Source organism: Homo sapiens, chromosome 19, assembly GCF_000001405.40.
Source record: "Homo sapiens chromosome 19, GRCh38.p14 Primary Assembly".
NCBI lineage: Eukaryota > Metazoa > Chordata > Mammalia > Primates > Hominidae > Homo > Homo sapiens.
In genome coordinates this window covers 38,388,392-38,401,593 of record NC_000019.10, presented here as the reverse complement: position 1 = coordinate 38,401,593, position 13,202 = coordinate 38,388,392, and the positions used below count along the sequence as shown (strand labels likewise).

Below are 13,202 nucleotides of genomic sequence, written 5' to 3'. Positions count from 1 at the left end.
AGGGAGTACTTAATAAGGAATAACTAATATATATACAGCATTTAATGTGTACTATTGGGCGAAGTATCTTATCTCTTTTACAGAAGAGAAAACTAAGGTTGAGAGAAGATAAGTCACAGAGTGAATTCATGGTGATGCCAAGGCTTGAAGATGAAATTCCAGACTCTATACTCTTAAACCACGGAACCTATTTCCACTGTTACTACTGCTGTTGTTTTGTTGCTGTTGCTAAGTAAACATTGTGTCAGATCTAATCTCTTCCTTACTGTATCCTGGTATCCAGTAGTTCCTAGACAATTCTGCTGGAAGTTGGGGGTGGACCAGGAGCCTGGAGGGAAGAACAGGGGTAGAACTTGTTCCTTAAGGGCAGATACGAGTAACCCCATAACCCTGTTTACCCCAAGGCAGGACACTTGGGGGGCTATTTTTTGACATAAATCAAATGTTAAAAATTGCCCAGAGGTGGGCCACAGTGGCTCACACCTGTAATCCCCGCCTTTCAGGAGGCTGAGGTGGGAGGATCGCTTGAGCCCAGGAGTTTAAGACCAGACCAGGCACCATAGTGAGAACATGTCTCTACAAAAACATTTTTAAAATTAGCCAGGCTTGGTGGTGTGCACCTGTAATCCCAGCTACTCGGGATGCTGAGGTGGGGGGATCACTTGGGCTCATGAGTTTGAGGCTGCAATGAGCAGTGATCATGCCACTGCACTCCAGCCTGGGTGATGAACTCAATTTAAAACAAAAAAAAAAATTGCTCCAGCCAAAAACCTGGACTTACTATCTTGACTCCTCTATCTCAAATCCCATACATAAATCTGTGGGTTCTATTTACAAAGTAGGCCCAACACCTGCCCACTTCTCCACCCTTCAGGGCCCTCACCCTGGGCCTGTCCGCTGCTGTCTTGTCCTGAACCATCACAGCAGCCTCCTCTCTGTGAAGCTGTCCCCCACCCCACTCCTACTCTGCTGACCACATGCAGCAGAAGGAGCCTGTGAACTGAGTCAGGTCACATGCCTCCCATGTTTGAAATTTCCTGTGGCTCCGTCTCACTCAGGGTAAAAACCTAAGTCCATTCAATGCCCTTCAAGGCCTGACAGATCTGCCCCATCGCCTCTCTGCCCTCATCTCCTAGCGCTCTCTTCTCTGCTTCCTCCCCTCTCAACACTCTAGCTCCCTGAAGCTCCTCAGACTTACCGGACACACTCCTGTCTCAGGGCCTTGCACTGGCTGTTCCCTTTACTTAAAATACCCTTCCCTGCAGACATCCCCAGAACTCCCTCACCTCCGTCAGGGCTTTGTTCAAATGCCAGCTCCTGGCTAGGCACAGTGGCTCACACCTGTAATCACTTGGGAGATTTCCACCTGGAATCACTTGGGAGACCAAGGCAGGTGGATCACTTGAGGTCAGGAATTCGAGACCAGCCTGGCCAAAATGGTGAAACCCTGACTCCACTAAAAATACAAAAATTAGCCGGGCGTTGTGGCACCCACCTGCAGTCCCAGCTACTCAGGAGCCTGAGGCAGGAGAATCACTTGAACCCAGGAGGCAGAGGCTGCAGTGAGCAGAGATCATGCCACTGCACTCCAGCTTGGGTGACCGAGTCAGACTCTGTCTCAAAACAACAAATGCCAACTCCTGAGGAGGGTCTAACCTGGCCACTCTAGCTAAAATGGCATGTATCCCCCATTCCCACTTTTTTTTTTCTTTCTGCTTTCTATCATTTCTAACATATTAAGTCATTTACTTATTGTCTCCCCTACTATAAAGCTCATAAGCTCTTTGCAGGAGGGACTTTTGTCTGTTCTGCCCACTGCTTTATCTCCAGTGCTTTCAACAGGGCTTGGCACATAATTAGGTGCTCAATAAATGCATTTGTTGAGTGTCTTATAAAACTCAGCTTGAGGGTCTGATGGGAGAAGGGAGAATTTAAGTAGGAGACTGGTTTAGCAGTTCAGGAAGGTGAGTGGGTGGGGTGCACAGAGGCAAATAAATAACACAGGCTGAGACTTTGTCACAGACATTTCTTGGAGCAGATCTCGTGCCCCCTCCCCCGATGACAAGGCTGGGTCTTTGGCCCCCATCCTCCCCCACCACTTCAGCCTGCACTGACACTAACAATATTGAGGTCACAGACTGGCTTAGAAACAAGATCAGGAAGATATATGTTGGGGTGCCTCCCCCAAATCTGGGGGCCAAGCATCCGATCTGAGGGGCAAGCGGCTGGGAAATTGGGCCTGGGGGCTCCAGGGTCTGAGGTCTGCCTGGCTCCCAGGGCGGCCCTCCATGTACCCCTGATTTGGGGGCAATGAAGGGGAATCATGGATCAGAGGTGGGTCTCAGCAGGGAGCAGGACTGGGGGACCTGGGAGAGGCGCTGCTGGGAAGTGGCGGCCAGGGGACCTTTCCTTAGCCCCCACCGCTTCATCTGCAGATCCCACAGCACCGTACAGCACTCTGGTCCCCCGTCCCACCCCTCCCCAAAACGAGGTAGGTTAAGAATGGAGCTTCCCCCCCGCCCACCATGGAAGGGGGGAGACCGAGGCACAGAGAGGGGCATGGGGACCCAGGCTGCCCCAGCCCCCAATCCCTCCGCCCTCAGCTCTGGTGGGTCTGACAGTGATGAGAGCTGGGCAGAGTGGGGAGGGGAGAGACACCCCCGCTTTTCTCTCACCCATCCCAGGGTCTGGTTGGGAGTGCTGAATCTCACAGGTTCCGGATGTAATAAATAGTTAATAATTTAAAGGAAGAGACAGAGGACCTATCCCTTGAACCCCAACAAGGCCATCCAAGTCTGGGTAATGAAGAAAGGTTAAGTGCACAGTTCCAGATGCTTGGGGCCAGATGCAGGTCCCAAGCCCATACAACATTGAGACTGTCTTGCTCCAAGACCTTGAGGCCCCCATACAGGACACCAGATCTTCGATCCACTGGAAGCCCCATTTCACTTGGGGGAAAAAAGCCTGTGGCACCCCCCTTTGCACAGAAGAGACTCAGTGGGCCATGAAACAGGCTTTCAAACTTCCTGAAGCAACTTCTCACTCTAAAGTGGAAGAGAGCCAGGTGCAGTGGCTCATGCCTGTAATCCCAGCACTTTGGGAGGCTGAGGCAGGTGGATCATGAGGTCAGGAGTTTGAGACCATCCTGGCCAACATGGTGAAACCCTGTCTCTACTCAAAATACAAAAAATTAGCTGGGTGTGGTGGCACATGCCTGTTATCCCAGCTACTCGGGAGGCTGAGGCAGACGAATGGCTTGAACCCGGGAGGGGGAGGTTGTGGTGAGCCGAGATTGTGCCACTGCACTCCAGCCTGGGTGATACAGCGAGACTCTGTCTCAAAATAAATAAATAAATAAATAAATAAATAGGAAGAGAAGGGGTTAATGGAGGGGGAGAACATAAAAGGTGGGACTTGAACCTGGACTAGGAATTAAGGTTGTGCTTGAAGGAAGGTCTGCAAGACTGGGGGCTGTGGGACAGCAGAGCCATAACTAGCCTGAAAGTTTCCATTGCACACACTTCTTCTGAGGGCACAGTGTGGCCAGCAGACTGGTGTGACTTCCAGCTCCTCGAAACCCTGGGCTGTGTGCCTTCACTTAATGAAGACCCTGCATAATCATCTGTGACAATGCTGGGTCCTAGACGTGACAGTGAGGGAGCTCCTACTTGGTCCTTTTTTTTTTTTTTTAGAGACGGTCTCACTACATTGCCCAGGCTGGTCTCAAACTCCTGGCCTTAAGCGATCCTCCTCCCTTGGCCTCCCAAAGTGCTGGGATTACAAGGCATGAGCCACTGTGCCCCACCCTGGGTGGTCCTACAATGAGTTCCAAATGGTAGGGATCCCACCCTAAGATAAAGGGGTAATTCTGAGGATTGCTGGGGGCTTGGGCTGGGATCCTTGGGACCAGAATTCCAGAGGCTGGAACCTTGGGGTTTTAGGGGCCTATGGATGACAGGATTCAAGGGGCAGCAGGTCTCTGAGGTCCGACAAGTGGGGATGGGGGAATCAGGTGTAGAGGCAACTTGGGGTTCATCAGACTAGAGAGGTTTGAATCCAAAGAAATCTGGGGTCTGAGGGTGCTGGGGTCTTGGGGCACCTCGAATCTGAACGCCTCTGGTATGGAGGGATGAAGGTCTTGGATCAGGAACAATCCCAATGTTGTAGGGTCTTGAGCCTTGCATTTGGGGGTCAGTGGCACCTTTGGGGTATTGGATCCAGTGCTCCTAAAGTACCTTAGGGTCACTCAAGGGCTGAGGGCCAAGGGCATCAGAGGTCTGGGTCACCATGAGCATCCCCTCTTCTGGGAGCTGGACTCCCAGCCCTTAAGGGGTTGGGAATCTGTGGGTAGAAAGAAGCTGAAGATTCCAGGACATTTGGGGTCTCAAAATCCAGGTCCAGGAGGGACTGCAAGAGAGGGCTATTTGAGAACTCGAGACCAGTATCTCGGGTCCTGAGGTGTTGGTGGCCTTCAGTCGCACATCTGAGGACCCCAGGCACCTCTGAGTCCTATAAATGATATCCAAAGCTCCTGAGAACCCTGGCTTGGGGGTGGGTGGACCTATGGAGGTCTTTGATCCCTGGCTTCCAGAGCATCTTGGTGTCTGATATCTGGATCTTGGGGGCTCTGGGATGGGTCTCCCAAGTCATTTTGGTAAGAGAACAGCTCGTGTTTCAGTATATCCGAGCACTCAGTGCATCTTAAGAGTCTGGGGTCCCAGGGTGTCTGGGAGTTCCCTGGACATCTTAGACTTCAGTGTTCCCGGACTGGAGGCCAGGTCTGTGGGCACTAAGTCGTGGGTAGATTTGAGGGGCAGCATCTGGAGATTCCAGAGCATAACAGAGTTTCAAACTCTGTTTGAAACTTTCTCAGGGGTCCTGCTGTCTCAGGGGTCCTGGGACTATGAGAATGTCTCAGATGTGGGGGCACCAGGTCTTAGGTGAATATTCAGGAACTGTTTGTGGGTGACTCCAGGTCCTATGGTCTCAAGATCTGATCTGGGAGTTGAATAAAGGCAGAGCCAGTTATGGGCAAGTCCTGACTAATTGTGGGGCTGTAATCTGAGGGACATGGTGCCAGGCGTGACCGGGTTCTAGGTTGTTCATTTCAACAGGGACCTGCCCTTTTCGGGATCTATGTGCTCCCTGGCCTTTCTGAGATGCAAAGTATGGGGACGCCTGGAGCCTCCTCGTGGGGTGTGGGGGTGGGGGAACGCCAGAACTCAGGACGCCTGGGACTTCTTAGACAGACACCCCAATGAAGCTGGGGCTGGGGTCTCTCAGTCCTAGGTTTGGGTTCCAGGTTCCAGGTCTGAGATCTCTCAATCCAAACTCAAGCTCCAAGTTCCGGATGTGCCTAGGTTTGGGTTTTAGGTCCGAACGGAGTCCGGGGTCCTGGACCCTCAATTTTGGGTCCTCGGGCCGGCTAGGGGACCCACCAGGCCGTCCTCACCGCGCAGCCTCCTCGTGGCGACCCCCGCAGCCGGCGCAGCCGCATCGCGCTGCGACCCAGTGGCACGCGCGCAGGGGCGCGTAGCAGCAGAGGCAGGGCACTGCCAGGGAGAGCGCGGCCAGCGCGGCCCAGCGCGCGGCGGGGCGCGGGTGGCCCGGCTCGCAGGCGCACGGGTCCGAGAAGTCGCCCTCGGCGTCCGACAGGCAGTGGTAGAGCAAGCTCTCGGCGCACCACAGGCAGCTTAGACGGCGCACCAGGAGGCGACCCGGGTCCGGGGCCTCTGCGCAGCGGCCGCCACGCCCGTCTGCTCTGCGACGGAAGAGCGCGCGGCAATGCACGCAGCGCGCTGCCTCCTCCGCTTCCGGGGAGGCCTTGGCAGGCGCAGAGGATGGGCCCGGGCCGGGGGGTGGGCGAGCGGGGGGCGCTGGGGGCGCAGCCTCGGTCAAAGGGGCAGGTAGTGCCGCTGGGGGACCCAGGGCAGCGCCCCTCAACGCGCCGGTCTTGGCGAAGCGCACGACGCAGGTGGACAGGGCGAGGGGCGCGGGTGGCCCGGAGCGCCGGTAATCCTCGTAGCCGCGGCCGCCCCACCCCAGGCCCCCTGCCCCTGCCAGGGGCTCTGAGGGTTCCGGAATCCCCGTGAACGGTAGAAGCGGAGGGTAGCTCTGCGGAACGAAGGGACAAACAGATCAGAATCCATCCCAGTCTTAGCCTCAAGGATCCAGTTCCCTAGCGCACTCTTGGGTCTGGGATTCAGATTTTCAAGACCCCAGCTTGCTTCTCTCCCAAGGTCCCTCAATCCCCACTTTTCTCCAGGGACAGACAGAGGAATCCACGCACCAACCCCACACCTTTAAGGACCCAGAGGCCGAAGGTTCCTAGTCCTGTCCTCTCTTAAGATCCAAGAGCCCCAGCTCCCAGCCCCCTCTACCTTGAGATCCAGGGGTTCTGGACCCAGCCACCTCCTCCTTAAAGGCGCAGGAGTTTGGTTCCTGGGCCTCTTTTACCCTTCTGGGTACCGACTCTCCCACCCTCCCCGTGAATTTAACAGTCCTCTTCCAGGAGTTCCCCAAATATACACTCTGAAAATGGTCCTAAACCTCTCTGGACTTCGAAACCCCTCAAAATCTCCAAGAGCGCAAGGAGACTCGGGAGGCCCGCACCCAAGCCTCCTAGAAACCCAGGCCTCCAAGCCTCTCCCTATTTCCCCGCCGCTTTCTCCCAGTCCGGCCCAGTTATCAGGTCAGCCATCCCCTGGAATCTGTGTTCCCCACCTCCCCGGGCCATGGCTCCCGCTCCCTTCGGGCCCCGAGTGCACCGCCCCATTCCCCCAGGAGCCCCAGGCTCCCAGGTCGCACCTGAGCGGAGGAGCGGCGGCGCTGGGGGGGCGTGGTCGGCCCGAAGCCTGAAGCTGACTCCATCGTGATGATGGGGGCCGCAGCGGCGCTGGGAGGAGTCTCCTGGCGGCTGTGACTGGAGGAGGAGTCGCTGTCCACGTGGGACTGGAGGAGATTGGCGGCCTCAGCGCGGGGACACGCCCCCGCACAGCCGATGCCCTCACATAGACCCCCTCCCATTGAGAGCGAGGGCTCTGCGGCCAGGAAGGCCTGGGTTCAAACCCCGGCTCTGTCACTGACTGGTTGTGTGACCTCCGGCAAGTGAGCTCACCTCTTTGAGCCTCAGTTTCCTCCTCTGTAAAACGGGGATCCTAAGAGTACCTATTCATAAGGATGCGGTTAGGGCCACTGTCAAGGGCACAGCATATGCCTGAAGTACTGGGAGAGCTGGAAATGGTTATTGTTATTTTTGTGGGACTCTTCTCCTGATCTAATCAGCTCGCCAAACCTGAGGAACATCTAATCGTCTTCCCGCTTCTCAGAATCCCTCTCCCCTGGGCAGCCAGCTGCCTTCCTCTCTCACTCCCAGCCCCACACTGTTATTGGGGCAGTCCCGCCCACTCCGAGTGCTCCCCTTCCCATGCAAACCAGCCTCTGTTCTGAAACTAGCTGAAACGACTTCTCAGACCCTTAGCTTCCTTTCTGCCACTTGGACATAACTCCTACCTTATCTGCACACTGCCTTCAATAGACATTCATTGAGCACCCACGACGTGCCAGACTCACGAAGACCACTGTGCAGATTCCAGAGGGGGCCTGGACAGCAGAGCATCTTTCCCGGGTAAGTGCTCCATGGATGGGAACTGTCTGCAACTGTTGTGGCCCCACTTCATCTCCCATGACCCTGGAACCCTCCCCTTTTCTGCCCAGGGAATCAGTTTTGTTCCTCCAGGTGTTTTAGGCAACTCCCAAGGTTTCCAGCAAGTGCCAAATTGCACCCGATATTATGTGCATTCATTCATTCCGTTTATTCAACACATATTTACTAAACACTTACTGTGTGCCAGGCACTGTTTCAGGCATTGGAGACACAGCAAGAAACGAACAAAAGATCCTTGCCGGCCTGGAGCTGACATTCTAGCATGGGAGATAGACCGTAAACTAATAGATAAGAAAATAGGCCGGGAAATACACCTGTAATCCCAGCAATTTGGGAGGCCAAAGCGGGCAGATCACAAGGTCAGGAGTTTGAGATCAGCCTGACCAACATAGTGAAATCCCGTCTCTACTAAAAATACAAAAAAAATAGCTGGGTGCCTGTAATCCCAGCTGTTTGGGAGACTGAGGCAGAAGAATCCCTTGAACCTGGGAGGTGGAGGTTGCAGTGAGCCAAGATCGTGCCCCTGCACTCCAGCCTGGGCAACAGTGCAAGATTCCGTCTCAAAAAAAAAAAAAAAAAAAAAGATAATAGTATTTTCAGAAAGGAAATAAGGAAAATGCCTTAGAACATGGGAAAAATTTAGCACTAGACAAGGGGCATTGGCAGATTGCAATTTTAAATGGAATACTTAAGTTTAAATACTCAGGGAGGCCCTCCCTGAGAAGATGATATTTGTATAAAGCCTTGAAAGAAACAAGGGAATGAGCCACAAGGAAATCTGGGAAAGAGTGTTCCAGGCAACAGCCAGTGCAAAGGCGCTGGGGCAGGGCTGTGCCTGCCACGTTAGAATAAGAGTGAAGAGGCCATGTGGCCGAAGCCGAGTAAGTGAGGGGGCCAGACACACAGGGCCACATGGCATGGGATCTCATATGCCACTGTAAGGACTTTGTCCTTTACTTGAGTGAGTTGGAGCCCTGGGAGGCTTCTGAGTGTGGGAGGGGCATGATCTGACTCAGCCGTTGATAGGGATCCTCTGGCTATGTGTGGGGGCAGGAGGGAAGGAGTTGACAGTGAGAAGCTATTGAGATGGTCCAGTTGGGAGATGAGTTTGGATGGTACCAGGTTGGAGGCAGATTGTGATGATTTGGAAAGTAGAACCAATATTTGCTGACAGATGAGATGAGACGCATAAAAGATAAGGAGTCAGGGATGACTCCAAGATTTAGAGCCTGAGTAACTGGAAGCATGGGGTTGTCAATAATTTGTTCATCCATTTACTTTCAATATTTATTCATTTTTATTGTTTATATATATATTTTTTTTAATTTTCTGCCTTTCCACACTAGAATAGAAGCTCCAGGAGGAAAGGAACTTTTTGTTCACTGATGTAACCCAGTGCCTAAAGCACTGCCTGGTATACAGAAGGTACACAATAAGGACCCTTGAATGAACGTGTGAATCATGACAGGGCAGAAAGACTAGAATAACTGGGATTGAATTGACACTCATAGTTCCGGCCCAATTTTGTGTACCCGGTGTGTGGCATGGTGCCTGCTACACAGTAGGTGCTCAAGAATGTTCATAGAATAAAAACAAAACCCCTACCCTCCCCCAGCAGAGAGGCATCCTGGACACTCACCGTCAGAGGGCAGGGGGTCTCTGCAGTATCCTGGGAAGGAGAGGAGGAGGAGGAGGAGGAGGAGGGGGTGAGTGAGCCTGGGGCAGGGAGAGAGGCAGAGAGTGAGTTCCTTGAGCCCAGCTTCTCCTCCCGCTCCCAGGCCAGCCCACAGTGCACATCACCTGGGCTGCTCACCTCGACCCAGTGCGGCCAGCGCAGCCAGCAGGCTCTTCTGGAACTCATCAGCCTCTGCAGGGCTCTGAAACGTCAGTCCAAACTTGCAGTCACCCAGGCTCCAGTGGTGAAAGATGGGATTCACCTTGTTGTAAACCAAGCCTGGCTTCAGTGTACACTCCAAGGTTGTCTGAGGGGCAGAAGGAAAGCAGGGTCAGATACCCCAACCCAGACATGCCTGTGACGTCTCGTCCATCACCAGCCCCCATGCATACCCTAGTGTCTTCTCACAAACCTCATTTCCCAACCCTAAGTGTAACCCTGAACTCTGATCAACACTGATACGACTCCCCAGTTTTACTTGTTTTGTTTTTTGAAACAGTCTTACTCTGTCACCCAGGCTGGAGTGCAGTGGTGTGATCAGGGCTCACTACGGAATCAACCTCCCAGTCTCAAGTGATCCTCCTGCCTCAGCCTCCCAAAGTGCTGGGATTACAGGCATGAACCCCCACACCCAGCTACGCCCAATTTTACTGAACACACCTCTGATGCTCAAATATTTTCCCAACCCCTTGATCCCTACATTTTCCTAATACCTCCCTCTGATGCCCCTGTAGAAACCCCGAATCTTGCTGAATGGCCCAAAACATTGTTAACCCCTTTCTGATAACCCAACATCCCCCCTCTGGCTCAACAATACTTCCCAGACTTTACTGAACATCTCACAATATTATTGTGAATCCTCTTCTGATAATAATCTCTGGAAACTTTACCCAAAAAATATTCTCTCTCTCTTTTTTTTTTTTTTTTTCCAGATGAGCTCTCTCTGTGTTGCTCAGGCTGGTCTCAAACTCTGGACTCAAGCATTCCTCCGGCCTCAGACTCATGAGTGGCTGGGATTATAGGCACTGTACCCAGCCAGCACTTACTCCAAAACAGTCTTATCAGACTTCCACAGATTCCCCTTCAGATGCTAGCCAACACCCTATTGATGTTCCCTCAAATCCTTGCCTAGTATCACCATATTCCTTCACTCCATTTCAAATCCCTCCACTGACTCCTGCTCCAAAAAAAAAACCTTTCCCCCAAGCCTTTCACACAATCCATATCTTTCTACTACATCCCTAGCTGAAACTGATTCAACACTGTCCCTCCACATTGTGCCCGACAGCCCAGTTATTCCTGATGAACCCATGTATAGAATTGTCAACCATCTCTGACACTTTCAAATGGACCCCAGCAAATGCTTCACTATACTTAGGGCAGACAGGGGCCAGGTGGTGTAGGGCCTCGTGGCAAGGATCTCTGAGCAAGATGGAGGGTTTTGAGCAGAGGAGGGACATGGTGTGAGTCGGGGCGGGGGGGGGGGGGCAGTGCCCCCTGTGGAACAGCCTGGGGTTGGAGCGGGGAGGAGGAGCAGTACAGGGAGACAGCGAGGATAGTCTGGCTGGAAGTGGCAGTGGACAGGACCCTCCAAACACCCCATGTATCCTGCAATTCCCAACTCTTATCTACAGGACAGATATTCACTCCCAAACTTCACACCCCAGCTTGATTCCTAGGCTGGGAGGCAACCTGACCTCTGCTCCACATGCCAGCCCCTCTCCCCTCCCTCCCCAGGTCCCTACCCTCCCCGCATGCCCCAGGGTGGCTCACTTTCTGGTCCCGGAGGCGTTCCCCGTGGATGACGTAGTGCCCCTGGCGGGCCCCCCCCTCGGGCCTGGCCCCTCGGACCCGACACACGCTCACCTGGCTGAGGCCCCCGCCCCCCACAGGCAGCCAGCCCCCACTGGAGTCATCTCGGGCCATCACCACAGCTCGGACCCGCACCATGTACCTGCAGGAGGTGGGGGGAAGGACAGGGACAACACAGTCATGAGCTCAAACCCTGCTCTCCCATGGAATGTTCCCTCAACCCTCATCTCCCCTCCAACTTCATCTCTCACGTCCAGGTCCACTGCACCCTAAGCTAGCAATACCCACCTTCAACCCCATGGCCACCGTCTTCCACACAGCTCCTTTCTTCCTCATGCCATCTCTTCTCTCTCACCTCTATCTTCTTCTCCATGTCTGCCCTTTCTCTCTGTACCCACCTTTCCCCCATCTCTCCGTCCCCACCCCCATAGCCCTGGTGTTGCCCTTCCCTCCCCCTCCTGCTTATCCCTATCACCCCCTTCTCCTCCCTCAGCACATACCCACAGCCCCACCCAGTGCTCCCCCTCACAGCTGGGTGCCTGCGCATATATATTTTCTCTGGGCCCATCAACTCAGCTCCTGTTCTCCCAACCCTGCCTCCGCACCCTGTCGTCCAGGCCACAGGCTGGGTGAGAAACCCAGGCTCTTTCCCCCCCACCCACCCCTTCCCGGATTTATGAATGAGACCGGATGCAAAGCTCACTGAGTCACCCAGCAACGGGAGATGGGCAGGGAACAGGGAGAGAACCAGAAATGGCCAGAAAGAGAGGCTCAGAGGGAGACGGAGGCAGAGGAAGTCAGAAACGGGCGACCGAAGACACATCCAGAGAGCATTTCATTCACAAAAATCAAGGCTGCTCCCCCAGGCCCCAGCCGAGGGAAGCCAGGGGGGAAAGATGGGATGGGGGGGCAGATTGATCCTTCCTCCCTCTTCCCTTCCCGCCCCCCAGCCCCAGCATCCTTCAGAACCATTTTACCCCGCCCCCCAGCTCAGAGGACGTAGCCCTCCGCCCAGTAATCGGGATCAGTGTCCAGCCCTTCACTGCCATCCAGCACAGGGACCCTGGCGTCCCAACCTTAGGGACCCGGACGAGCTCTAGCCCCCTCCCCCACCTGCAGGCTGCTGGGTTTCCCGGGCCCTTCAGGAGGGGAAGGGGCGGCTGCAGCGCCCCCAGCCCCCTTTTCTCAATGGGATGGGATTTTGTGAATGAGCAGTCACGTGACGCTGCTTCCTTTGTCCGCCCGCCTCCCCCGACAACAGGTGAAGCAGGGAATGAGAGCAGGGGTCCCCCCAGGGCCTAGCTGGAATGGGGCACTGGCATTTCAGGGTGGCCTACGCTCCCCACACATCCTGTGTCCCCCGGGGGGAGTGGTCCTCAGCGTTCCTCAACGGTGAGGGTCCAGGACGGAATTTTGTGAATGGGGCATCCTCGGAGAAAGTCCAGACCCCACAAATGAAGACTGGTACCCTGAATGGCTGCCGCGCAGTTTGGGGGGTCCCCACTCTCTAGTCCTCCTAGCCGGGGCCTTGGGGGCGCCTGGGTGGGCAGAAGGCGCAGCGCGGTCACGGCCGCCCCCTCATCGGGGCAGGCAGTCTGTCAGCCCCCGCCCCCTCGCCCCCCTCGGCACCTGCCTGCGAGGCTCCGGCCGGGCTCCGAGCGGCGGCGACGCGGCCTCCTCCTCCTCCTTTTCGTTCCGGCTCCCTGGCTGGCTCCGGCGGCGCTGGAGACGGGCACCGGGAGCCGGGGCGAGGGGGGAGGGAGGGGGAACCTGGAAGACGGGTGGGGGGGGAAGGGGCGGCTTGGGGGAGGGGTAAGAGCGAGGCGGGCTTACTTGCCTGCTGGGTCCTAGAGCCCGGCACTAGCTCCAGAGAGCAACCCCCCAGCCCCCATTTTCTTAAGATCCAGAGGGGATCCCCCACTTTTCCACCCATCTGCGCCATTGGTCTCTAATGCTATGAGGAGGGGACGGGGCAGGGACAGGGACTGGTCTCAAGGTTCTAAAGAGGTGGTGGTCTACGCTGTGGCTTGGGTGCCTGGCAGAGTTCGA

General features: G+C 55.0%; 1 protein-coding gene across 5 annotated transcripts, besides 2 other annotated features; it reads right to left on the bottom strand.

The window, feature by feature from the left end:
• Nucleotides 1,277-1,435: a silencer, noted in NCBI's record as "fragment chr19:38890799-38890957 (GRCh37/hg19 assembly coordinates)". NCBI's record gives its function as "represses an EF-1alpha promoter that drives an FKBP-Casp9 reporter gene in an ReSE screen in K562 erythroleukemia cells {active_cell/tissue: K562}" and the evidence as "EXISTENCE:reporter gene assay evidence [ECO:0000049][PMID:32094911]".
• SPRED3 (sprouty related EVH1 domain containing 3) lies at nucleotides 2,007-12,897 on the bottom strand. Of its 5 annotated transcripts, none has more exons than NR_073032.2 (6): nucleotides 11,208-11,803; nucleotides 9,480-9,648; nucleotides 9,306-9,382; nucleotides 7,118-7,233; nucleotides 6,808-6,951; nucleotides 2,007-6,114 (listed from the first exon to the last, which is right to left on the bottom strand). NR_073032.2 is itself a non-coding variant. In NM_001394336.1 (6 exons), the coding sequence occupies exons 2-6, from the start codon at nucleotides 11,289-11,291 to the stop codon at nucleotides 5,449-5,451; spliced, it is 1,233 nt and encodes a 410-aa protein (NP_001381265.1). In that variant the 5' UTR covers nucleotides 11,292-11,295; nucleotides 12,787-12,897; the 3' UTR covers nucleotides 2,007-5,448. The 5 variants fall into 5 exon arrangements, 4 of the variants coding, with proteins under 4 accessions (NP_001381265.1, NP_001381266.1, NP_001381267.1 ...); NM_001394336.1 differs by lacking the exon at nucleotides 7,118-7,233 and adding an exon at nucleotides 12,787-12,897 and having other exon boundaries at nucleotides 11,115-11,295; NM_001394337.1 differs by lacking the exons at nucleotides 6,808-6,951; nucleotides 7,118-7,233 and adding an exon at nucleotides 12,787-12,897 and having other exon boundaries at nucleotides 11,115-11,295.
• Nucleotides 11,771-12,065: a silencer, noted in NCBI's record as "tiled region #13764; K562 Repressive non-DNase unmatched - State 7:EnhWF". NCBI's record gives its function as "represses a minimal TATA promoter and a strong SV40 promoter by Sharpr-MPRA in K562 cells {active_cell/tissue: K562}" and the evidence as "EXISTENCE:reporter gene assay evidence [ECO:0000049][PMID:27701403]".
• Nucleotides 12,898-13,202: the final 305 nt, after the last annotated feature.

Coding starts and splice junctions, on each gene's coding strand:
- SPRED3 (NM_001394336.1), bottom strand. CDS start 11,291: ATGGTGCGGGTCCGAGCTGTGGTGATGGCCCGAGATGACTCCAGTGGG. Junction 9,383..9,479: donor GCTGGCCGCACTGGGTCGAG/GTGAGCAGCCCA, acceptor TCCCTGCCCCAG/GCTCACTCACCCCCTCCTCC. Junction 6,952..9,305: donor AGACCCCCTGCCCTCTGACG/GTGAGTGTCCAG, acceptor AATCTCCTCCAG/TCCCACGTGGACAGCGACTC.